This window comes from Homo sapiens, chromosome 5, assembly GCF_000001405.40.
Source record: "Homo sapiens chromosome 5, GRCh38.p14 Primary Assembly".
NCBI lineage: Eukaryota > Metazoa > Chordata > Mammalia > Primates > Hominidae > Homo > Homo sapiens.
The window spans coordinates 12836985-12864938 of NC_000005.10; the positions used below are offsets into that span (position 1 = coordinate 12836985).

A 27954-nucleotide genomic window follows, 5' to 3' on the forward strand; every position below is an offset into this window, starting at 1 on the left:
ATACAGAACAAAGAATTAGATGGTATAACTAGTGTCAATATATCTGGAGGGATGATTAGGGTCTATGAAGTTCCAATAAAGGAGTCAGAAAGAAAATTGGTTAAAGCAATTTAAAATGATTACCCCCAAAGACGACACTTAAAAGCTTTTAGAAAGAGCCAAGTGCAGTGACTCACGCTTGTAATCCCAGCAATTTGGGAGGCTGAGGTGGGTGGATTGCTTGAGGCCAGGAGTTTGAGACCAGCCTGGCCAATGTGGCAAAACTTCGTTTCTATAAAAAACAAAACAAAACAAGAAAAAAATCTTTTAGAAAGATTTGAGAGAATGAAATGAAGATCAGTGTTGAGCATTTTAGGTATCATGACAGCATTATGATTAAGTTAGAAACAAATACAAAATAAACACAAAGGCATTGTGGGCCCCAAACAGAGTTTTCATATATCCTGAGGAAGAATTTAAATTAACATCTGGGGTAACAGGTGGGAGGAAAAGAATTGGAGAATAAGCCGTTGTCAAGTTTTGGGCTAAGTGTTGAACATATAGAAACATGCATCCCAGGCAGAAAGACACTGGAAATGGTATTGAAAAGTGGATAGTTTTCAGTAGACTCCCTGGTATATCTCACTATGGCAATATAAGGTAAGTAGCTTGATATACCTGGAAATAGGATGTTAGAATAATAAAGAATTTAAGGGAATACATTCTCCTTGGAAATGTGCTCGTAAATGTGTGACGTGCTGACACAAGTGGAAGATATGTCATTAGACAGACCTGCACTCAATTCAGCTCTGAAATGACAGAAGCTAAGCTTTCAAGTGGTTAACAGAAATCAGGAGATTTCATCAGACATTCTCCAAGGGAAGAAAAGAGACGACTGAAGTAATGCCTGAACACTGGCACACTTACCGTGCATCGAAATCATTTGGGTATAGGCATGTCTTCAATGTCACTTGAAGAAAGAGAATTATTCAGATAGATAGTGGGAGATTACTCTTAGCTTCATTTATTTTGCCGGTTTGTAGATTCTTGGCTAATACTGCTGAAGTGAATAACAAGCAGACTTTTTTTTTTTTCCTTTTTACCTGTATTTTCTCTGTTTGCTCACCTTCCTCTAGACATAAATAAGTTGTTTTAATACACATGACAATTTAGGAATAGAGATCTGTATTGAAATCTTTAGTGGGTTCCAGAAACATCATTTTCATTCAGACAATTACTTCAGAGGCTGATGTTTTGCTGGTGGTTTTAAAAATTTTGCTTAAATGGGTTCAGTGTCATGGTAATCTTACATATTCTAATGAAAAATGTTTCTTAAAAACAGTAGGTATGTGGCAGACTGCAGAGTGAATTAATTTAGCTGGAGAAGTGCTAAAAGAATTTTACAGCTGCCAGGAGGAGAACATGAAGATATAACTAATGAAATTGCTTGGCTCCACCTATATTACATGAAAGTTTGTGGCTGAGATTGAAGAAAAGCCAAAGTTAAAAGGGTGGAATACTGGACTTAATTATTTTAATTATTATTACCAACTTAAATTTTTTCCTAGTAATCTGACAAAAAGCTCATTTGATAATATAATTTGCATACTTAATATTGCCATTTGAATTGATTGTACAAAATCTACTTTAAAAAATTGGATAATATCACCAAAGTTTAACTAAGAAATAGAGTAGAAATAGAATTGTTGGCCTAGGCTAAAAAGTGGCCTTAATATTTCTTTAATGATTATTCTATTTTCAGTCATTTATTATCTTTAAGTAAGACATGTTTTACAGTCCTAGGAAGAGGTAGTGGTTGCTATTGGACTCCTGACCTCAGGAAAGCAGAGTAAGTCTATGCTGGTAAAGTCTTGGTCTCTTCCTCATGAGGCAAACAAACACACACATTGTTGACGACAGCCTTAGTTATTCACCTGAACAGGTTTTGAATAAAAATTTATGGAGAAACATTATCTCATTGCTCCTAATATTTTAAGGATGAAAGAGCGCAATAATAAAGCATTATGAAAAATCCACCCTAACTCTGCATTATATTTTTCTCAAAAGAAAGACTGTGATTAATTCTGTTGATACAATTATAGGAAGTCTGAAAATCATTTGGCCGCATTGTGTATAGAAAAGGAGAATTTACATTTCAACCTCTCATGCTTTGGATCTATGTATCTTTTGGCTTTTTGGACCAGCTAAGCATATCCTAATTTATCTCCATTCTGTTGCAAATGTTTTTACAATGTTTTACATGGCTGCCCCCATGAGCTTGGAATAATTATTGATAGTTATACACATATTTCCAATTGCAGTTACATTGATACAATACATAGTTCATGGAAAAAATGAAGGAAGATAGGAAGAAAGGATGCATGAGTAGTATGTGATTCTTATAAGAATATTAGGAAATGAACATTATTTCCCCTTTTTCCTAAAATATGCAGAAAGATTTTTCAATTGGCCTATGACTAAACACAGTAATGATGAAACTAACAAGATCTTAGATATTCTGATTGTTAATATGGCATCAATCCAATTATACAGGTTACTTTACTTTTCATAATTTCCTGTCATAGTTTAATAAATTATTTTTTATAAATTATAATGCAAAATTGATATATTTCTTTAGTGATTGAGAGTCTTCTCAATATACTTTCGACATATTATAAAGTACCCAGTCTTAATCATGTCTTGCCTTCAGGTCTTTTTTCTTTTCTTGCAAAAATACCAATATAAGCTAAAACCATAACTAATAGGATAGTAATGTAATTTAAAATATGATACAAAACATGCACTCTCCTATTTATCTCTAGAGATTGCTACATAAACAAATTCAGCAGAGTTTTTCATTTCATTTTTTATAATAAATGATGATGTGTGACAATATAGAAAGCAGTCTTAACTAGATTTACACATTTCAAATTGAACTAGTTTTAATTTCATATCTAAAAAGGGTTTCAAATGGACATCATTTACAAGAATTACTGGGTTAATATTCTCAGAGATTTAATTGTAATGGATTATTACCTAGCTATGATTTATCATAATGTGGAAAAATAGATTAATTCATATGGTTTCTAAAAAGACTCAATATTATGATTAAAAGCAGTGACCTCATTTTTTATTAGTTTGATACTGCCTGGGAAGAATTCCTCACCTTATATGTTTGAGCTAGAAACGCAGTAGCTACTGCAGCATTTTCTGAGGGCCACAATGGTCACTGTGCCAGAGGCTATGTCCAGTGTCTGTTGATGATTGTGTGTGGGATATTGGCTAGATCACCTTCTCTCTGGAAGATTCTGTGTAGTGATCAGAGCAGAAGACGTGGCTACTTAGCCTCTCTGGATAAATGCTTATTTATCAGAGTGGTTCTCCAGCCATTTCAGTTATTCAATGAGCTCCTTGTACCTTTTATCACGAAATCCCTTTCCTGTTTAATTCAAGCACAGCTGGGTTTTTGGAACAGTGTATTATTTCCTAGGGCTGCCACCACAAATTGTTACACACTAGGTAGCTTAATATGACAAATTTATTATCTCAGAGTTCTGAAAACCATAAGTCCCCAAATCAAGGTTTTGGTGGGGCTGTGCTCCCTCTGAAGGCTCTAGGGGAGGATTCTGCCTACCTCTCCCAGCTCGCGGTGGCTCCCGGCACTCCTCACTTCCCTGGCTGCATCCCTCAAAACTCTGCAGTCACGCTGCCTCCTCCTCTTCATTGTCTGTGTCTTCTTTCTCTTGTAAGGGGAGTTGTCATTGGATTGAGGGTTTACTCAAATAATACAAAAGATCTCATTTTAAGACCCTTAATTGCATTTACAAAGACCATTTTCTCATAGAAATTCACACTCACAGTTTTCCAAGGGCCAGGATGTGGACATATATTTTTGGGGGGCCACCCCTTGACCCACTCCAGAAGTGTCCGTGGATTGACACTTTACAGAATTCTCATTTTATTTAATCTAGTTTGTATCGTCATTGAAAAGTTGTATCTTGTTTCTGAGCTAAAACACCCTCTAGTCCACCTTTTCACAGTCTAAATTCAGGAATAAAGGGTAATAAATATTAAGGAAACACTCGTCTTCAAAATAGCTGACTCCCTCAGCCCATCATCTGTCAGTCTACTTTAAGCACTGCCTGATAGACATGAGTAGGCTCACGTCACGTTGGGGGTTTTACAAGAACATTAACTATCTTGTACTAGAAATGGGCTAATCAGCTGTCACCTGTATGGCAGTTCAGACAAGTGCAAGTACTTCCTTTGAGTTATGATCTTGTAAAAATGAGAGTTTATAACTGAAAAGCTGGTCACTGTGACATGCAATTCTGAAAGACTGTTTAACATTTCTGGAGACAACATAGTTTGTAAATAAGGGGCATTTATTACTACAGACAGCCTCGGGGTACACATTCATTATCCACTGACAAGTACAGATACAAACGCAAAGGCTTAATTCATTAGCATGTAGGTAACATGTTATATTTAAAATTAGGGTAAATGGAAATATATTTCATAAAGATACAATGATTTAATTAATTCAATTACTTTTTAACTTAGAATATGATTTTAGATAGAAAAAGTCTGCAGATGTGTAACTTGCTTTCCATAGTCAAAGATTTTAAATTGTTTGGCTTACTTCAAAAGAGAGGTACTTATGTCAATCAGCACTGATTTAGATTGATGTATTTATAGCTTAATAAATGTTCACACTTTTTAAAAATAAATTTCTAACATGAAAAATCCTATATGGTATAGTAAACCCAAATTTTGTTGGAGTAGATTTTTTTTCTCTAGCTCATTTAATGTCACATTGTTTGACATTACAAAAAGTTCCTGAATGATTTGTGTGTTTTAAAGAAACTATTAACATCATTCCTTTTCTACTCAGTTTTCATACACTCAGTATTTATTTTCAACTGATGTAAAAATTTGAAATCATTTATGAATATAAAAATATTACATATTATAATTATAGCTTTACATATGTTTTTTCAATCAATCAATCAATAAGTACTTTTTCATAGCTAAATTAGAGAGTGGCATCCTTTGAAGTGCTGTGAAAACTGAACAGAATTAAAAAGAAAACATCCCTGCCCTCAAGTAGCTTACATTCTGGAACGGAGAGACATATGCTAAACCCAAAACTTTAAAATATATAATATGTTACATAGTTATAAGTACTAGGATGAAATGGAAAAAGGCAACAGAAAGGGCAGTAGGTGTGGAGGATAATTTTAAATTTAAATAACTCAGAGTGCACTGGCATAACTGAGAAGGTTCTTCTGAGCAAAGACTTGAGAGAAGTGAAATATTCATTATATACAGATATCTGAGGAAGGCTTCTCCAGGCAAGGGGACTTGCAGTGCAAAGACCCTGAAAAACACAGTACTGCTTAGAAGTCAGTGGAAAGAAATGAGGGACAACAATGGCTGGAATTAGATGAGGGAATGATAGGAGAGGTAAGATTACACTAGAAAGGGGAAGGACAGGGATTACTACAATAATAGGGACTTCACTCTGAGTAAACTGGAAGGTCACTACACATTCTGAACTGACAGAACCAATGTATATTTTATAGAATTATTCAAGCTGCGTAGGCAGTGGATGAGGTTAAGGGTGGTGGAGTTAAAACAGGAAGACAGTGACAAAGTTATTTCAATTTTTCAAGTAAGAAATAGTGGCAACATTGAATAGGGTAGTGACGACTGGCTGATTAGAAGTGGCTGAATTTCTGAACATATTTTGAAAGTATTATGTTGCCAAGAAATTTAACTGGAAGACAGATTGTGAGGTTTGAAGAGAAAAAAATGAGGCCAAAGTGACTCATATAGTTGAGCCAAGCAACTGAAAGGCTGTTACTATTTATCAATAATGGAACGCCTATAGAAGAACCAAGTGTAAGGAGTAAGGTTATGTGCTCAGTTTAGAAATAAAAGGTGTGTATATATCCTTTGCATCTGCCTTAACAGCACCTATATCTCTTTTTTTTCCTATATTTTATTTTATTTTAAGTTCTGGGATACATGTGCAGGCCGTGCAAGTTTGTCACATAGGTAAATGTGTGCCATGGTGGTTTGCTGCACCCATCAACCCATCACCTAGGTATTAAGCCTTGCATGCATTGGCTATTTATCCTGAGCTTTCCCTCACCCTGCACCCACAACAGGCCCTGGTGCGTGTTGTTCCCCTCCCAGTGTTCATGTGTTCCCATTGTTGAGCTCCTACTTATAAGTGAGAACATGTAGTATTTGGTTGTCTGTTTCTGTGTTAGTTTGCTGAGGATAATGGTTTCCAGCTCCATCCATGTCCCTGCAAAGGAGATTATCTCATTCCTTTTTATGGCTGCAGAGTATTCTGTGCCACATTTTCTTTATCTAGTCTATCATTGATGGGCATTTGGGTTGATTCCATGTCTTTGCTATTGTGAAGAATGCAGCAATATACGTACGCATGCATGTATCTTTATAATAGAATGATTTATATTCCTTTGGGTGTATACCCAGTAATGGGATTGCTGGGTTAAATGGTATTTCTGCTTCTAGATTCTTAAGGAATCACCACACTGTCTTCCACAATGGTTGAACTAATTTACACTTCCACTAACAGTGGAAAAGTGTTCCTATTTCTCCACAGCCTCGACAACATCTGCTGTTTCTTGACTTTTTAATAATTGCCATTCTGGCTGGTGTGAGATGATATCTCATTGTGGTTTTGATTTGCATTTCCCTAATGATCAGTGATGTTGAGCTTTTTTTCATGTTTGTTGGTTGCATAAATGCCTTCTTTTAAAAGTGTCTGTTTGTGTCCTTTGCCTGATTTTTGATGGGGTTGTTTGGTTTATTTTTGGAAATTCGTTTATGTTCCTTGTAGATTCTGGATATTAGACCTTTGTTGGATGGATAGATTGCAAAAATTTTCTCCCATTCCATAGGTTTTCTGTTCATTCTGATGATAGATTCTTTCGCTGAACAGCACCTGTGTCTCTACTTCTACATCTGTGTGTAAGTGTTTCTACATATATGCAACTGTATCTCCAACTCTTATCACAATATCTGGAATTAGTAGACAACCTGTAAATATTTGTTGAATAAATGTTGAGTACATACACATCACATGCAATTTGGTTGATATTACAGGTAGTGTGAAACAACATAGCATCCAAATTTAAAATTAGATGTAAAATATGTCCTATATTCTTTCAGAAACATAATTTTAATGGTTGTCAATATATATGTACAAATATTCTAAGTAATTGACAAAGCATTTAATTGGTATCTACTGAGATAGGATATCTGCATCCCAGGTCATTTTTCTTATTAAGTGAATGAACTAAATAAAATTATTTAATCTTTTTAAGATACAACTTTCTTATTTCTGAAATGTGATACTGTCACATTTTTCTGAGATTAGAATATGTATATAATAAACATCTGAACACAGCAGGCAACAAATGAATTACAGATGTTATTAAAATGTGTATCATTTGAAGTATGTTAAAATTACATTAATTCAATAAAACTTGTGGAATTGCTGGGTCAGTAATATATGTATTAATCTGGGGAAAAACAAATATAAAATATAGTAGAAAAATGTATACTGTAGAAATAATGTATATTAAAAACATAAAGTCAACTGTAGTATATGTATATGTAGCATAGTATATAATGCGTGTATATATAGAGTGTTTTATGTATATGTTACAATGTATATAGTATATATATAGCATAGTATATACAGTATATGAAAACAGTGTGTATATAGTAGAAAAATGTATATTGAATTGAAAATACTTGATCTTAATTAGTTACAAAATTGCCTAAAAACAATGCAATTGTGGGACAAACAAATCATATGCTATTACAGACCATGTTCCAGACTTCAATTATAAGACACTGAAACCTACCTCAAATTTGTCCCTGTTTGTAGGGGGTATGAATCATAAATGAATAAAAATTGTATAGAAACAATATGCCAACTATTTAGCAATTAAATAGAATATGTCTCGGTTACCTTGCAATGTAAAGATGAAAATACTTTGTATTAGATTATTCCATATATGATTTGATTAAATCATTCTAACAACACTTGCTCTAGTTGGTCTGAACTTGTTTAATTTTGTATTAAAGCAAATGCTGCAGAATAAAGTTCAAATGCGGGCCTTGAAAGCAGTTTCTCTGTGTAGACATTTAACTTATTTTTGTGATAATTTTTAACTAAATTATTTTTTAAAGCTTCACTATAACCTGTTCAGGCAATCATCTCTAATGGAATGACATCAATATTAAAAGGTCAATACTTTTAATGCATTAAATTACAGGTACCAGAAAGTCAAAACATAAATCACTATATATAATATATATATATATCAATATATCTCTATCTATTTCTACATATATATTTTTTCCTGACTACTTAGTATACTTGACCATTTGTGAATCATATATCTTTATTAAATATAATCTAGGTACTTGAACTTATTTTAAATATAATTAGAAGAGTGATGTCAGCAACATGACTGATAAGAGGTGTCTGGCTCTTTTCCTTCCACCAAAAAACAAATAAATTTTAAAAACCACCATTGAATAAACAAATACATTTCAACTAGATTGTCTGAAAGAAAGTCCTAGAGGACAAGGGAGTGTTGACCCTGTGAGTCAAGAAAAGCCAGGATGGCGGCATAAAGAGGAGGGGAAAGAATCCTGCCTCCGCCACTTTATCTTCCCTGCTGGGAGGGGCTCAGGGCCAGGAGGAGCTTCTCCTGCAGAAGAGTATAGGCATCAGGCCCCTAGAATTCCCCATTGCTGTGGCAGACATCTGCATCCCTTGCTACAGGAGAATCCCATAGGCGCTGAGCTCAGTTTAGTGAGCTGGCTGCAGTTCACAGGGCTACATTGCTACAGGGTAGGAGCCCACATCTTGCACTCTGCACCACCGTGACCCAAACTGCTATGGCATGGCCTTATTTTGAAACTGAAACCACTGATAGAATGCAGCCTGCTATGAGGGCCAAAAGCCACTGCAGCTCTCCATCCTCAAGGCTCCACTGTTATTCTACCAGACTCATGCATGTGAATGAAGAACCACGAATGCAGATGTTCTGAGCCTAGGCCTAGCTGAACTGCAGTGATTCTGGCAACAGAGCCCACATGGCACCTTACCTCCCCAAAGAAGGCAGTCTTGCACAGCAGGGAAGTTGACCCCGGACAGGAAACTCATCATATGCATGTACATTCAGCCTAAAAACCAGCAGGAAGACCCTGCCTCCAGCAAGGCAGCACTGCTGCAGACACAAAATCCTGCAACTTAGACCACTAAGGCACTCCCAGGCATTGCTTATCTGGATTACAGCTGAAGAAATTAAAAGTAGGCTTAAAAAAAAGTAAAATGGACAAATCGGTAGTTATATTAACTAGGAGAAAAAGAGATAAGACTCAAACAAATAAAATCAGAGATAAAAGGAGAAATTACAACCAATATCATAGGACAAAGGATCATGAGAGACAATTGTGAAGTTATACCCAAAAAATGGAATAACCTAGAAGAAACAGATGAATTCCTGCACACATACAATCTGTCAAAATTGAATTATGAAGAAATAGAAAATCTGAACAGACCAATAACAAGTAAGGAATTTGAATCAATAGTAAAATTTCTCCTATAAAAGAAAAGCCCAGCTACTGAGGACTTCACTGTTGAATTCTACCTAAACTTTAAAGAACAATTCAGACCAATTCTTCTGAAACTATTCCAGAAAATTGAAGAATAAGTAATATTTCCAAAAATTCTACAAGGCTGTCTTCCCCTGATACCAAAACCACATAAGGACCCAAATACAACAAAAAGAAAACCACAAGTTGATATCCCTGATAAGCATACATGTAAAAATTCTCAAAATATCACCAAACAGAATTCAATAGCACATTAGGAAGATCTTTCACAGTGGTCAGCTGGGGTTTATCACAGGGATGAAAGGATGGATTAAAATATATATATTAATAAATGTTATACATCACATTAGCAGAAAGATGAGGGAAACCATATCATCACGTCCATAGAGGCAGAAAAAGCATTTCACAGAACTCTGTATCCTTTCATGACAAAAACTATCAACAAATTAGGTAAAAACAGTACTTACCTCAACACAATAAAGGCCAGCTAGCATTATGCTAAATGACAAAAAGCTGAAACCGTTTTTGCTAAGAACTGGAACAAGACAGGGATACCCACTCTCACCAACTGTATTTAGCACAGTACTGGAAGTCGTAGCCAGAGAAATTAAACAATAAAAAAAAATGAAAGATGGGCAAATTGGAAAAGAGGAAGACAAATAGCCCCTGTTTGCAGATGAGATGATCTCATATACAGAACACACTAAAGACTCCACCAAAACAGAACTAATAAACAAATTCAGTGAAGTTATAGAATGCAACAACAAGATATAAAAATTAGTAACATTTCTATATGCTAATAGCGAAATATTTAAAAAGAAAGCAATAAGCAATATAATTCACAATAGCTACTAAAAAAAAAAAACCTTGATGTAGATTTAACCAAGGAGGTAAAAGATGACTACAATGAAAACTATAAAACATTGATAAAAGTAATTGAAGAAAATATAGATAAATGGAAAGATATTCTGTATTCATGGATCAGAATTACATTGTTAAAATGTCCATACTACCCAAAGCAATCTACAAATTCAATACAATCTCCGTGAAAATATCAATGATATTCTTCACAGACACACAGAAAACAATCATAAAAATAGAAAGCAAAATCTTAATACGGAATCACAAAAGACACTGAATAGCCAAAGCAATTTTGAAAAAAAAAAAAAAAGAGAGAGAGAGAGAAGACAAAGCTGGAGATATCCCTTTACCTAGCCAACAAAAGTTGGAGACATCATGCTACCAAAACAGCATGGTATTAGTGTCAAAACGGAAACAGACCAACAGGACACAATAGAGGGCTCAGAAATAAATCCATGCATCTACAGCCAACAGATTTTCAACAAAAATGTCAATAACACACATTGGCAAAAGGACAGTATCTTCAGTAAATGGTGTTCAGAAAATTAGGTATCTGTATGCAGAAGAATAAAAGTTAACCCCTATTTTTAACCATATACAAAGTTCAACTCTAAATTGATTTAATATTCTATTTAAGACCCAAAGCTATGAAACTGCTAGAAGAAAACATAGGGGAAATGCTTCACAACACTGAACTGGGTAAGAACTTTTTGTATAAATACTCAAAAGCACAGAGAACAAAGGCATAAATAAACAAATGAGATTACATGAAACTAGAAAGCTTATTCACAACAAAGGAAACAAGCAACAGAGTGAAGAGAGAACCTCCAGAATGAGAAAAATATTAGTAAGTTATACATCTGATGTGGACTGGATATTCAGAATACATAACGAACACAAACAAGTAAATAACCAAAAACCCCCACAAATAATGCAATTAAAAATGGGAAAATAACCTTAATAAACATTTCTCAAAAGAAAACACACAAAAGACCAAAAAGAATTTTAAAAATGCTCAATATTATCACTAAACATCAGGGAAATGCAGTTATAGCCACAATCTCACTCCAGGTGGAATAGCTATTATCAAAAAGACAAATGATAACAAGTGTTGGTGAACATGTAAAGAAAGACGAACTCTCACATGCTGTTGGTGGAAATGTAAATTCATACAGCTGTTATAGAAACAGTATAGAAGTTCCTCAAGAATTAAAATACTTCTACTACATGATTCAGCAATTTCATGGGTATATATCCAAAGGAAATGGGTATATATCCAAAGGAAATAAAATCAGTATGCTAAAGAGATGTCTGCACTTGCTTATTGAAGAACTCTTCACAATAGCCAAGGTATGAGTCAGCCTACATGTTCAACAAAGATTGAATTGATAAAGAAAATGTCATGTGTAATGGGATACTATTTAGTCATAAAAAGAAGAGAATCCTGTCATTTGTGACAAAATAGATGAACCTGGAAGATGTTATATTAAGTGAAATACGTCAGGAGCAGAAAGACAAATACTGCACTATCTCACTCATATATGGAATCTAAAAATGTTGATCTCATTGAAGTAGTCAATAGAATAGTGGTTATAAGAGACTGGGGAGGAGAGGGTGATAGAAGGACGGAAAGAGGCTTGTCAGTGAGTACAAAGCTACAATTAGAAAGTAAAAATAAATTCTGATGTTCTATTGCACAGTAGGATGACTGTAGTCAATAATAAGGTATTGTATATCTCGGAATACCTAGAAGAGACAATTTTGAATGTTCTTACCACACAAAACTGATGAATGTTCAAAGTGATGAATATATTTAGTATTCTGATTTGAAACGTATTAAAACATCATATTGTACCCCATAAATATGTGCAATTATTATATGTCAGGTAAAAATCAAAATAATTTAAAAGAAGAGCATAAATCCATACTTACTACATCATTAAAATAAGATTAATATCAATTTTCGTTCTGATTAAATTTTATGATCATCTTAGAATATTGCTATTTATGAAAATATGGTTTATTTTATGACTGCATGTTAAAGAAAAAAAAAACTCCCATTTCAATACCAGAATCCTGAATTCTGCTGCCCAGAGTTATTACCACAAGCTAGAATTTGAGCCTCAACTCTTCTCCATTTGATTAACTTTAGGTTGATATAAATACCCTAAAATTATATGCTTTTTAACTTTGGAAGATAAAATAAACAGCTGTTGGAGCTTACCAACTGGTGAGAGGGTATGTATTCTCTCCAAAGAACCTTCAAAAGACAGTCACCTCACATCTTCTCACTTCAATGATAAATACAATCATCCAGGTCTGTGAGCTTGCTGTTTGTGGTAGACAGAATTCTGAGATGGTCCCCAGGATTTCTGCCTTTTTTTATACACCCTCCCCTTGAGTGTGAGTATGGCATGTAAATATGATGTGTTATTACTCCTATGATTAGGTTACTAACCAGTTGACTTGGTATGAACTAATATGGAGGTTATCCTGGGTAGGCTTGACCTAATTAGGAGAGGTCTTTGAAAAGGGTGCAGTGAGTCAGACAGACTGACCTCCTGCCCTCTAAGAAAGGTGAAACATACAATCATGTATTGAGCTGCCTAGGGAGAAGAGCATCTTCAAAGAGTTGAGGTCCTAAAGCTGCAGGAACTGAATTCTACCCATAGCTTGAATGTAATTGGAAGAAGACTGCAAGAATCAGATGAGACTCCCAGCCTAGCTTCCATCTTGACTGTAGCATGTAAAACCTCAAAAACCCCTCCTGAGTGCAGCCTAGGCTGTCGACCTGAAATATAGTAAGATAATAAATAATGGTTGTTTTAATCTGCTAAATTTGTGATAATTCGCTACATAGCAAATAAAAATTATACAGTGTTCTGATAGACTAAAAACGTATAAGATTAAAGTTACATGATTTTCCCTTAAGAAAATAGCTCATTTTATGATGAGTTCCTCTCTGGGAACCCTAGCATAATCTCTACAACCTTGCTGGCTATCAGAGAATAAATATATTCAATAGCCCAGGAGACATTTAATAAATAGTAACAAGTAGAGGCCCTACTGACCCATATGACATCTTTATTGGTATTGGGAAAAGGTGCTGTAGCCTCAAGCTACTGTATTTCCAACTGGGGAGAAAATGTCAAAACAAATAGAATATATGCAACATTTAAAATTTGAATGACTTCTTTTAGGGTTATGAAATACCCAGCCTGCACAACTTTATGCAAGTTAATTGAATGTTGGCATAAAAAATGACAAAATAAACAACCCATGCCTTCTAGAACAATCAGCAGTGAATAACATTTTGGTAATAATTATTATTACATTATTTAAAGAGTTCACTTAATAGTTTAGTGTGCTTGAATTATTTTTAGAATGTATTTGTTGTTTGTGGTGAGTACAGTCTGTGCCTTGACACATCCCATTAATGAGTCTGGGATACTCATTCTCTAGCTAACATGAATGTCACACCTCAAAGCTGCCCCCTTCATATGGTTTGGCTGAGTCCTCACCCAAATCTCATCTTGAACTGTAATAATTCCCATGTGTCAAGGGCAGGTCCAGGTGGAGGTTACTGAATCATGGGGGCAGTTTCCCCCATGCTGTTCTCATGGTAGTGAATAAGTATCATGAGATCTGATGGTTTTATAAATGAGAGTTCCCCTGCACAAGCTCTTGCCTGTAGCTAAGTAAGATGTGCCTTTTGCCTTTCCCAATGATTGTGAGGCCTCCCCAGCCATGTGGAATTGTGAGTCCATTAAACCTCCTTCCTTTGTAAATTACCCAGTCTCAGCTCAGGTATGTCTTTATTAGCAGTGTGAAAACAAACTAATGCACTCCTTTTCTGGAGAACTGCCTGCAAGTGTCAGAAGCCTTTGTTGTGGAATGACAAAATCTAGCTAACTAGCATATGCATTACTCACATAGTTATTATTTTTGTGGTGAGAACACTTAATATCCATTCTCTTAGCCTTTTTTCAGAATTCATTAACACTGTAAGAATATATTATTAACCGTCATCACCAGGTTATACAGTAGGTCTCTTCAACTTTTTCTACCTGTCTGATGGAAATTTGGTATCCTTTGACTAACATTTCTCCAATGCACCCCCATCAACCACCACACCCCTGATAATCACCATACTACTCTCTACTTCAGAACATCATGTTGTACTCGATAAATATATATAATTTATCTGTCAATGTAAAAAATAAGATAATCATTTTTAAAAAGTAAAAGAGGCCTTCACAGTAAAGTTTGGCATTCTTCTCCAGCTGTCCAATGCTAACAAACAACTGAAACACGGCAAAGACTGGCTCCTTGGACTTGACTCAGGACCAGTTTTGGTGTACTTTCCACTCCAGAGTCCCTTTACGGTTAGGCAGAAGCTAGTCCCTAGCCAAGACCACACACTTGCTTATTTGTTTCCCTGACCAATCTTTTGTATTTCACTCGCTTCCTTCCTCAATAAATCACTTGAACAAGAACTTCCTTGCCATCTCAGGTTCTAATACAACCCCCTGTGTATTACGCTTTACAACACAGGCTTCATGTGATGTAAAGAAATTAGCTATCAGTATACCCTAAAGAAGCTAATAAAACCCAGAGACCAGGTCATCTCACACACGGCCTATTTCAAAGCCCTAAAGGAGTCTTAGACTGGTGCTCACACAGTTGCATAGTTTATAAAATGTTCAAAGTTAAATATTTTGTGTTGTTTTCTTACAAGAGGATCCCTAAAACAGGATTCAGGCCCCTCAAAATCCCCTTCTCCCTTGGAAGAAATTCATCTTTTGTTCTTCTAATTGCACATGTTATCTGCCTAACTTTCAGAACTACATTAATAACAATTATAATGTCAGATTTAAAGAAAAAGGGAATGTCATGTTAGAAAGATAACCTTCAGGGAACATCACACACTGGGGCCTGTTGTGGGGTGGGGGGAGAGGGGAGGGGTAGCATTAGGAGACATACCTAATGTTAAATGACGAGTTAATGGGTGCAGCAAACCTGCACGTTGTGCACATGTACCCTAAAACTTAAAGTATAATAAAAAATACATACATAAATAAAAATAAATAAATAAATAAAAAAAGGAAAGATAACCTTCAGATTTACTCTTTCTGGGACTACTGGAAACCGAGTTAGTTATTTTCAATACATGAGCATTTAAATAGATTTTCTCTGTAAAATGATATGTTTTAATTGTCTTGTACCTGTGTTTCTGCAAGTTTCAGCACAGAAGTGCAACAACTGCTATCAGAATGCCAGAGGTTCAGTCTAGGTCCTATTGCTCACCGCACAGAAGGCCAGTCATTGAGATGAGTATTGCCAGGTAAGGCCACTTTATTCCAGTGCTGCATCCGAAGAGAATGGGAGGCCAAGTCTCAGCTGTGTTTGGTCAACTGACTTAAATTAGGAGTTTATATGACAGGGAAGAAATGTAACTAACTACTTGTGGAAAAACAGGAATTAGAAAGAGGTGAGGAAAAGTAGTTGGTAAGCAGGCATCAGGTAGTCAGTTGGGCAATCGTGATGGGTGAGGGGTGTGGTATCTCATTGTCCAGATGCCATGATCTGGTGAGTTTCCACTTCTTAATACTATCTGAGAGGGTTGATGGTTGCTTTCCTGACCAAGGAACTCGGGTAAGACAAATACGGGTTTTAAAAATTTTAAGACTAAGAGGGTCAGTTTCCGTATTTATTCAAAAAATTCATAAATATTCAGTATGTGGGGAAAATTAGGCTGATTTCACAATTGCCCCCAAAATTCCACCGTCTCAGGAATAATGAACAAGGAAGGCTGCAGGCAAGACATTTTCAAGTTAATGGTGAAATTCCCATTGCCTATATCTTATGACTGTCTCAAAAGAAAAAAAAAAGAAAGAAAGAGAAAGAAAGAAAGAAGGAAAGAAAGAAAGAAGGGAAAGGAAAGAAAAGGAAAGGAGAAAAGAAAAGAAAAAAGATGAGACTGCGTAAAGACTCATGTGTTCTATACTCATCTGAGATGAAGCTGCCCCAAAGATCAAATTCAGAAATAAAAGACATGCAACGTGCTTACTACATTTGGGGTGAGAAAAATACTAACATTTGAATAATTTTAACTTTATATTTAAAACCTTCCACATAGTGCTATATGGACATTCCCTTCAAGCTGTAGGGGGAGGGGAATTTGGCCCAACCTGTGTACATGTCCCCTTCTCCCTCTCTGATTTAAAGCAGATCAAGGCAGACCTGGGGAAGTTTTCAGATGATACTGGTAGATACGTAGATGTTCTACAGGGCTTAGGACAAACCTCTGACCTCACTTGGAGAGACGTCATGATATCAGATCAAACCCTGGCCTTTAATGAAAAGAACATGGCTTTAGCTGCAGCCTGAGAGTTTGGAGATACCTGGTATCTTAGTCAAGTAAGTGATAGAATGATGGCCGAAGCAAGGGACAAATTCCCTACTGGTCAGCAAGCCATCCCCAGTATGGATCCCCACTGGGATCTCGACTCAGATCATGGGAAATGGAGACGTAAAAATCTGTTGACCAGTGTTCTAGAAGGACTAAGGAAAATTAGGAAGAAGCCATTGAATTATTCAATGATGTCCACCATAACTCAGGGAAAGGAAGAAAATCCTTCTGCCTTCCTCAAGTGGCTACGGGAGGCCTTAAGAAAATATACTCCCCTGTCGCCCGAGTCACTCCAGGGTCAATTGATTCTAAAAGATAAGTTTATTACCCAATCAGCTGCAGATATCAGGAGAAAGCTCCAAAAGCGAGCCCTGGGCCCTGAACAAAACCTGGAGGCATTATTAAGCCTGGCAACCTTGGTGTTCTATAATAGGGACCAAGAGGAACACGCCCGAAAGGAAAAGCAAGATCAGAGAAAGGCCACAGCCTTAGTCACGGCCCTCAGACACACAAACCTTGGTGGTTCAGAGAGGACAGAAAATGGAGCAGACCAATGACCCAGTAGGGCTTGTTATCAGTGTGGTTTGCAAGGACAGTTTAAAAAAGATTGTCCAACGAGAAACAAGTTGTCCCCTGGCCCATGTCACTGTGCCAAGGCAATCACTGGAAGGCACACTTCCCCAGAGGGCAAATGTTCTCTGGGCCAGAAGCCCCGAATCAGATGATCCAACAACAGGACTAAGGGTGCCTGGGGCATGTGCCAGCTCATGTCATCACCCTCACTGAGCCCCGGGTATGTGTAACCATTGAGAGCCAGGAAATTGACTTCCTCCTGGACACTGGCGTGGCTTTCTCAGTGTCAATCTCCTGTCCCAGACAGCTGTCCTCAAGGGCCGTTACCCATGCCTTTCTTGTTATGCCTGAAAGTCCCATACCCTTATTAGGGAGGGCCATATTAGCCAAAGCTTGAGCTATTATCTACATTAATATGGGGAACAAGTTACCCATTTGTTGTCCCCTGCCTGAGGAGGGAATCAACCCTGAAGTCTGGACATTGGAAGGAACAAACTCAAGCTCCAGCCTTAAGCCTTCCCACAGGACAAAACTTCTCTTTATACGTCACAGAGAGAGCAGGAATAGCTCTTGGAGTCCTTACTCAGACTCGTGAGACACTCCACAACCAGTGGCATACCTAAGTAAGGAAATTGATGTAGTAGCAAAAGGCTGGCCTCACTGTTTACAGGTATTTGTGGCGGTGGCCATCTTAGTGTCAGAGGCTATCAAAATAATGCAAGGAAAGGATCTAACTATCTGGACTACTCATGATGTAAATGGCATACTAGGTGCCAAAGGAAGTTTGTGGCTAACAGACAACTGCCTGCTTAGAAACCAGGTGCTACTCCTTGAGGGAATGGTGCTTCAAATATGTACATGTGTGGCCTTCAACCCTGCCAGTTTTCTCCCAGAGGATGGGGAACCAATTGAGCATGACTGCCAACAAATTATAGTCCAGACTTATGCCACCCGAGATGATCTCTTAGAAGTACCCTTAGCTAATCCTGACCTTAACCTATATACCAATGGACCTTAACCTATATACCAATGGAAGTTCATTTGTGGAGAATGGAATATGAAGGGCTGGTTATGCCATAGTTAGTGATGTAACTATACTTGAAAGTAAGCCTCTTCCCCCAGGGACCAGCGCCCAGTTAGCAGAACTAGTGGCACGTACCCAAGCCTTAGAACTGGGAAAGGGAAAAAGAATAAATGTGTATACAGATAGCAAGTATGCTTATCTAATCCTATATGCCCAAGCTGCAATATGGAAAGAAAGGGAGTTCCAAACCTCTGGGGAACCCCCATTAAATACCACAAGGAAATCATGGAGTTACTGCACACAGTGCAAAAACCCGAGGAGGTGGCAGTCTTACACTGCCGAAGCCATCAAAAAGGGGAAGGAGAGGGGAGAACAGCAGCATAAGTGGCTGGCAGAGGCAGGGAAAGATCAGCAGAAAGGAAAGAGAGAAAGAGAGAGACAGAAAGTCAGAGAGACAGGAAGAGACAGACAAAGAGGGAGTCAGAAACAGAAAAAGAAAGAGAGACAAAGAAGTCAAAGAGAAAGACAGAGATAGAGGTAGTAAAGAAAAAAAGTGTACCTTATTTCTTTAAAAGCCAGGGTAAATTTAAAACCTATAATTGATAATGGAAGGTCTTCTCTGTAACCTTATAACACTCAAATCCCACCTTGTTGTCAGTGTAAACAAGGGCACAGCCCAAAAGCACTGAGTCCACTGACAATCCATAGCCTTCCTATCAAAAATCCTTAACCCAGCAGGTTTCTTAACAGGGGATCTAAATCTTAATTATCATACAAAGGTCCGACCAGCTCTAGGAGGAATCCCTTCAGGACAGGACAATAGATGGTTCCTCCCAGGTGATTAAGGGAAAAAGACACAATAGATATTCAGTAAGTGATAAGGAAACTCTTACAGAAGCAGAGTTAGGAAAATTGCCTAATAATTGGTCTGCTCAAACTTGCCAGTTGTTTGCATTCAGCCAAATCTTAAACTACTTACAGAATCAGGAAAGAGCCATCTATACCAATTCTAAGTTATTATGGACTGAATGAGGTTTTATTAATAGCAAAGAAAAATTAAAATCCCAAACTTACAAGGTTTTCAACTAAAGTAAACGTCACTAAAAGTTAACAGTGGAACATGTATTATCCTACTACCACACACTCAAAGGATTTCTCAGACAGTTTGCAAGAAATAACGAACTCTATCCTTACTCTACAATCCCAAATAGACTGTTCGGCAGCAGTAACTCTCCAAAACCGCTGAGGCCTAGACCTCCTCACTGCTGAGAAAGGACTCTGCAGCTTCCTAGGGGAAGAGTGTTGTTTTTACACTAACCGGTCAGGGATAGTACACAATGCTGCCCGGCCGGTGTTTACAGGAAAAGGTTTCTGAAATCAGACAATGCCTTTCAAACTCTTACACCAACCTCTGGAGTTGGGCGACATTGCTTCTCCCCTTTCTAGGTCCCATGACAGCCATCTTGCTATTACTATTATTTTGTGTTTCTTTGCTTAGAAGTTCTTTAAGGTAAGCAGCTGCTGGAAGCAGAGCCAATAACTGCTAGTAATTCCAGTTGTTGGAACAGTATACTTGTGCTAAAATGCCATATTTCCATCCCTGAATACTACATGTAAACTTTTTTTTTCAACTGTAGTCCAGCATTTTACTTATCCTCTTCTGTGCATTCTTTAGCAGAGCCCTCTTTAATTTATCATACAGCATATGCTCTGGCAAATCCAAATGAATTCCAAAGAAAATAGATCCAGTAATGGACCACAAACTCACTCCTTAAACTCTTTTTAGTGACACTATGATTTTGACCATTTTAAGACAATGACTTAGCCATAGATAAGAAACCTCAGCTGATCTGTAGCTGCTGTACAGCATTGAATAATATACGATGGAATTAACCTGCATGTCACAGTTTCTGGCCAAAGCTGCCAGATTTTTTGCAGCAAACATTTGGAATCAGGCACACATGCATTTAAATGTTTGAACTGTTGCTTATTAATTGGGAAATTTGGAACCGTAAATAAGTTGCAGCATTTTCTGATTTTGCAGCACGATTATCTGACTTCTGTATGATCTTTCAAGGTTAACTCATGAATATGTTAGAACATATTCCATGATGTTTCATGGCTCCCAGACATAACTCTCAGTCTTAAAGGTATTTCAAATTGGAAACTAAAGCCTTTGCTTGTTTTTTCTCCTACTTGTATTAAATTCAGATATTATATTTCATGTCTTCAATGATACTTTAGGCAGAAATGCAAATTAACTTGCCCTCTCTCTTTTTGTTACACAGGCCTAACAAAATCTCAGCTTTGGATGAACTTACCGGTTTGGTTTTATCTATATATATGTTTATACAGTTTTATTTAAATAGCTATGCCCAATCAAAAAATGCCCACTGATTACTGTTACCTGTTGTATTACTCTGTTCTCAATGCTGCCATGAAGAAATACCCGACTGAGTAATTTATAAAGAAAAGAGGTTAACTGACTCAGAGTTTCGCAAGGCTGGAGAGGCCTCAAGAAACACACAATTATGGCAGAAGGGGAAGCAAACACGTCCTTCTTCACAAGGCAGCAGGAAGGAGAAGTCCCAAGCAAAGGTGGGGAAAAGCCCTTTATTAAACCATCAGATCTTGTGAGAACTCACTCACCATCATGAGAACAGCATGAGGGATAATTTAGGGTATCTGGTGGAAGAAATTTCCAAGCAGCAAAGCATTTTACTTAGGTGCTGTTAAAATCATTCAATTTTATGTATTCACAAAGATATTGTTTGGAATTGGAATGTGTGTTTAAAAGGCAAGCAGAGCATAAAAGTTTGGAAAATTTGCAGCCTGACAATGAGATAGAAAAGAAAAACTCATTTTCTGAGGTGAAATTCAAGCTAGCCATAGAAATTTGCATAAGTAACAAATGTTAATTGCCAAAACAATGGGAAAAATGTGTCCAGGGCATGTCTTAAGTCTTCGTGGCAGCACCTCCCATCACAGGCCCAGAGGTGTAGTAGGAAAAAAATGGTTAGGTTGGTTGGTTCCAGAGCCTTGCTGCTTTTTGCAGTCTTGGGACTTGGTGCCTTGCATCCCAACTGTGGCTAAAAGGGGACAATGTAGAGCTCATGCCATTGCTTCAGAGGGCAAGCCCCAAGCCTTGGTGGCTTACACATAGTGTTGAGTCTGTGGGTGCACAGAAGTCAATAATTGAGTTTTGGGAACCTCCACCTAGATTTTAGAGGATTTATGGAAATGCCTGGGTAACCAGACAAAAGTTTGCTGCAGGAGCTGAGCCCTCATGTAGAGTCTCTGCTATGGCAGTGTGGAAAGGAAATGTGAGGTTGGATACTCCACATAGAGTCTCCACTGGAGCACTGCCTAGTGGAGCTGTGAGAAAAGGGCCACCATCCTCCAAACACCAGAATGGTAGATCCACCAACAGCTTGCACTGTGCACCTGGAAAAGCCATAGTTACTCAATGCCAGCTTGTTAAAGCAGCCAGGAGTGGGGCTGTACCCTGCAAAGCCACAGGGGTGGAGCTGCCCAAGGCCATGGGAGCCTACCTCTTGCATCTGTGTGCCCTGGATGTGAGACATGGAGTCAAAGAAGATCGTTCTGGAACTTTAAAGTTTAATGACTGCCCTATTGGATTTTGGACTTGGATGGGGCCTGTAGCCCCTTTGTTTTGGCCAGTTTCTCCCATTTGAAATAGATGTATTTACTCAATGCCTGTACGCTCATTGTACCTGTGAAGTAATGATCTTGCTTTTGATTTTATAGGCTCATAGGCAGAAGGGACTTGCCTTGTCTCAGATGAAACTTTGGGCTTGAACTTTTGAGTTAATGCTGGAATTAATTAAGATTTGGGGAACTGTTGGAAGGGCATGATTGTGTTTTGCAATGTGAGAAGGACACGTGATTTGGGAATGGCTGGGGCAGAATAGTGTGGTTTGGCTGTGTCGCCACCCAAATCTCATTTTGAATTGTAGTTCCCATAATCCCCACATGTCGTGGGAGGCACCCAGTGGGAGGTAGTTAAATCAGGGGGGCTGTTGCCCTTACGCTGTTCTCATGATAGTGAGTGAGTTCTCCCAAGATCGGATTGTTTTACAAGGGGCTTTTCCCCTCCTTTTGCTCGAATTTTTCTTTTCCCTACCATCCTGTGAAGAAGGACATGTTTGCTTCCCCTTGCCCCATGATTGTACGTTTCCTGAGGCTGCCTGAGCCATATTGCATTGTGCATCAACTAAACCTCTTTCCTTTATAAATTACCCAATCTTGAATATATCTTGAATATGTCCTTATAGCAGCATGAGAATGGACTATTACAGTATTACAGTAGTTTGGGTTTTTGTTGTTGTTGTTGTAGTAGTTTTTAATCACTATCTCACTTTCTGTCATTATGAGATACTCAATGCTTATTTTGTGTATTTTCTGCCCTAATCCTAGAATCACCCATTTCTATAAGGAGCCCTCTTTTCTTTTATTGGAGAATGTTATTCAAAAAAAAGACCTGAGCACTAGATACGGTAGTTTCTCTCTGTAGCACTTTTCATAGACTGCAGATATTTATATAACTAATTATTTAGTTTAATTTTTAAATATATCTTAACTACATGAGAAACTAGCTTTGTACCATCAGGAACCTCTAGTAGGGACGATGGCATAGACATTACCTGTAATGATATTTAAAATTTAAGATTGTGGTGTTTATCTTAGAATATTTTCTTAACTAAAAAATACAATTAATGAGTTATGCATTGGTATTTAGTTGTGTGATTAGTGCAATGCTCTATGTTATAGTCTACATAGCAATGATAGGTTTAATTAAACAGAAGGTAAAATGCTTAATTTATAATAATATAATATAAAACCACAAATAACTGAGAAATGCAGAATATCCATTACATCTGCATTCTTATTTTTAAAACTATGTCCTTTGGCCGGGCACGGTGGCTCACACCTGTAATCCCAGCACTTTGGGAGGCCGAGGAGGGCAGATCATGAGGTCAGGAGATTGAGATCATCATGGCTAACATGGTAAAACCCTGTCTCTACTAAAACTACAAAAAATTAGCCAGGCGTGGTGGTGGGCACCTGTAGTCCCAGCTACTCAGGAGGCTGAGGCAGGAGAATGGTGTGAACCCGGGAGGTGGAGCTTGCAGTGAGACAAGATTGCGCCACTGCACTCTGGCCTGCTGACAGAGCGAGACTCCATCTCAAAAAACAAACAAACAAAAAACTATGTCCTTTATAATGTGACTGCAATTAGAAAAAATATTTTAAAATGTTTATGAAGCATATATAGATTTTAATTCAAAGTCAGTATTATTTGGAATCTGTTAAATATGATCACCACTCTTCTGCTAGCCATTAACCCCTAGAAAATGTCACTGGTTTGACAGCTAAAAATTTTTAAAGGGAATTTCAACTTTTTAAAATGCAATTCTCCTTTTGTGAAATGTAGTTAACCCGTATTTCTCTATAAGGCTCATTGACACTTATACCATACTGCCATACTGTTGCTTTTTATGGAATGACGTGCCAGAAGATATGGCTAAATCACACAGATGCTTGATAAAAGGAGTTCAATCCACTACTTCTATTTGTCTTACTCTAATTCTGTCTTTACAATTAAAGATCATGACATAATTTCATATTAATGTACTCAAGTTTATAAATGTAACTTGTAAAATTAAAAACAATTAAAATTATGTCTTATTTGCAACACTGAAAATTATTAGCATTAGACTTTTTGATGCCATATAGAATGAGATATAACTTGACATTCTTAGGTTAAATACATTATTTAATATATTTTGTGCTTTAGTATCTGACTTGGGCATTGAGGAAGGCACTTAAGCCCTATTTGTGGTGCATTTGTTTTCTTTAACTATCCCCAAAATGTCAGAAATGAAAAGAATCTCAAAAATCTTCTAGCCCACGAACATTTACTTCTCTTAAGCAATAACAACTTTCTTCAAACTCTGTCTTTCATAGAAACATATATACAATAGAAAGTAGATTTTTATTAATTTTAATACTTTGGAGTATATATTTTATTATGAAACAGACAAGTGAAAATCATGAAATAATTTAATCTTAACATCAAACTTTTGAAGTGTTTTTGAGTAGTAAAAAACATAATTAAGGGAAGATTACATAAAGCCTTGCAGGACATAGTGAAGAATTTGGCTTTTACTTTTATTGTAATGAGGAATTATAGTGGTCAGACTTAAAGACAGTCCCAATTATTTCTGACTCCTGGTGTCCTTGAATGTGTGTGGAGATTATTTGTTTCATGATTTTCTTCTAAACAACAGAAAACAACAAAATTGTTGACTGTTATTATGAATTTTACCTGTAATTGTAACATCTGTCTTGCTAGTAGCCTTTCTCTCTTGTCGAAGGGTGATGAAGCAACTTATTGTGGCAGAGAGGCCCCCTTGACAGGGAAACGGGTGATCTCCAGCCAGCAGACATCCAGCAACTGAAAGAGGCACAAGGCTGAAATTCATCCAGTGACTGTGGTTCTTATTTATGCAACTCTCAAGGAACTTAATGCCACCAACCATCACATGAACTCGCAATGCGATCGTTCCCTCATCAGGTCTTGAGATGGAATTGCACCCTTCGTCTCAAGATGCTGTAATAAAGGAGTTGGCTGAGGGTTCAGTTTAATCTCAAGGATCCAGTTTCTGCAGTTTGACCTCAAGGACTGCACTTTCAGCAGAGGACCTAGCTAGGCAGTGCTCAAACTCCTGACCCACAAAAATAATGAATGTGACATAAATAAGGGTGTGTTGCTTACAGCCACTATATTTGTAGGCATTTTTTACACAACAATATATATCTAATACAGAAGTATTACAGGGTTTTAGCAGAGAGTCATCCGTGTTTTAATTACATAGTGAATTAATCACTCTGGTTGCATTTTGCACTATAAGCTCTATGTGGAAGACAGGAGATCAACTGGAGCTCTGATGCAAGAATTTGAAAGTGGCTTACAATAATTCATAGAAGAGCAGTGCAAGTGTCTAGAAATGGCTAAATTCTAGATGGATTTGAAGGAGGAGCTGAAAGGATTTAGGAATATATTAAATTATATGTGTGTGAGGAAGTGAGGAATCAAATTTTTAGTGCATAGGTAAGTAGAAAGATGACAGTTGTTATTAGCAGAGATGGATGAATTATAAAGAGAGCACACGCAAAGAGCAGCATGGTAGATTAAAATTCTAGTATTTAACATATTAAGTTTTATTCTTTTTCTTTAGGTGTCTAGTGGAGAAGTCAAGTAGCTAGGCAGATATACATGCCTAGAATTCAGAAGAAAAGTCCAGATTGGCAATATAAATTTGGAAGCTGTAAATGCATAATGATAATTAAAGCCTTAGTACTAAATGAGAGATAATCAAGAAAGAGCACTCGATAATAAAAAATAAACTATCTAAAAATGAAACTTGGACCCTTTGAATTTCATGGCCATAAAGAAGAGAAATTGCCAATAAAAGAAGCTAAAGAGGAATGTCTATAAAGCAAGTAAGGTGTTTGTAGGCCGTTATCAATGTCTAAAATATTCTGTTGGAGTAAGCCTGGAAAATGTTAACAATTAAACGTTGGGTTTTCAACACAGAAGTCATTGGTGGCCTAAAGAGGAGTAGTTCTGATGATACGGTGGGGATGAAGTTTAATTGGATAGAGATTGTGAGTAAATGAGATACGGAAAATTGGGTATAGGATTACAGACAAACGTTGATAAAGAGGAGTAGAAAAAAGGATTGACAACTAAATGTAGAAACTAGACTGAAGAGTGTTCTTTTTATTTCTTAAAGAAGGGATGGATAATAGAATATTAATATGCTTATGTAGAAAATTAAATATACAAAATACAAAAAGAGAGAGAGTATAATTTCTAAGAATCCAACTAATAGTTATATTTTCCAGCCCTAGACTTCCTGATGCATTGCCAATCTTGTCGAATTCACTGTTAATATAGTTTTGTCTCCTTTCTATTGGTTGCTTCCTAACTTTAATTAATTAATTCATTAATTTCAGACAGGGTCTCACTCTGTCACCCATGCTGGAGTGCAGTGGCACAATCTCAGCTCACTACAACCTCCACATTCCAGGCTCAAGCAATCCTCCCACCTCAGCCTCCAGAGCAGCTGGGGCTACAGGCTTGGGTCCCCATGCCCAGATAATTTTTTGTATTTTTAGTAGGGATGAGTTTTTGCCATATTGCCCGGGCTGGTCTCGAACTACTGGCCTCAAGCGATCTGCCTGCGTTGGCCTCTTACAGTGCTGGAATTATAGGCATAAGCCATCACTCCAAGCCTGCTTCCTGACTTTAAACTTCACTCTTTCTTGTATGGACTACTAAAGAAGACTAACACACCATTTAAGAACATGCTTCCACTGGTGTATCTGCCACTGGGGTTTCCCAATCATTGTGTGATGCTCATTTATGTGTGGTTTTAATCATTCATGTACTCTGCTTCTGACTATCCTATTTCAGTTTCCTATGAAACCTGTCCTTGTTTATTTTTTTCTTTCTTCAAACAATTTTTATGCAGCAGCATATTATTTGGGAATTTTACATCATCCAGCCATCTTCATGATATAAATAAAAAAGGCAAGGAGTAGGAAATGAACCATCTTATACAGAACATTAATTTTTCTTGCATATTAATTTTGCTGAGTAAATTGGGCTTTGAATTAGTACATATTGTTCTTTATGAAATCCTATTATATAGATGATTATCTGAGCCTTTTCTTCAGGGTACACTGAAGAATACACTCTTCTATAGTGACTTACCTGATGGAAATTTTGTTACCTAGTTTTGATATTACTAAAATTTTTTAAACCTGTGTGTTTGGTACACTCATGTATGCATTTAATTGTAACTGAAGTAGTATTCAGGTGTATTCATTGAGAAAAAATTCTTACCCTTGAGAAGGATTGGATTGTTAAATTTTTAAAAAGAGTTAGAAAAAATCTTTGGCTTGTACAATGTTACTCTCTAGGTTTTTGAGGAAATTTAAGACAAATGGAATGGATTGTTTATATCATCAGAGATTATTTATAGCATCAGAGATATAATTTTGCTTAGATCTTTAACATCTTACTGGACATTTCTATTTAAATGTGATAACAGTAATAACCAATACATGTGATGCTTTTATTTACACATTACAAGGACAGGCACTGCTCTACACCTGTTACACAATTTAAATTACATACTGTTTACTAGATATCTACGAGTTGAGAGCTATTTGTATCTTCATTTAATTCATGAGGATACTTGTATAAAAATAAAAAAAAATCTTGTCCAAAATGACACAGAGTGTAAGAGTTGATACCTGAATTAGAATCCATGGAGTCTAGATCCACATCATCGTATTATTCTGCCTTTCTAAAGAAGGAATGAAAGAAAACAGGGAT

At 36.9% G+C, this 27954-nt stretch overlaps 1 long non-coding RNA gene across 1 annotated transcript, besides 1 other annotated feature; it reads right to left on the reverse strand.

The window, feature by feature from the left end:
• Positions 1–232: 232 nt before the first annotated feature.
• On the reverse strand, positions 233–27927 carry LOC105374657 (uncharacterized). The gene is made up of 3 exons (XR_007058694.1): positions 27873–27927; positions 24874–25002; positions 233–271 (listed from the first exon to the last, which is right to left on the reverse strand). It is a non-coding gene; the product is annotated as an uncharacterized LOC105374657 (long non-coding RNA).
• Positions 19017–19662: an enhancer, noted in NCBI's record as "NANOG hESC enhancer chr5:12856113-12856758 (GRCh37/hg19 assembly coordinates)". NCBI's record gives its function as "activates a minimal SCP1, AML or CMV promoter by ChIP-STARR-seq in naive H9 embryonic stem cells {active_cell/tissue: H9 hESC(naive)}" and the evidence as "EXISTENCE:reporter gene assay evidence [ECO:0000049][PMID:30033119]".
• Positions 27928–27954: the final 27 nt, after the last annotated feature.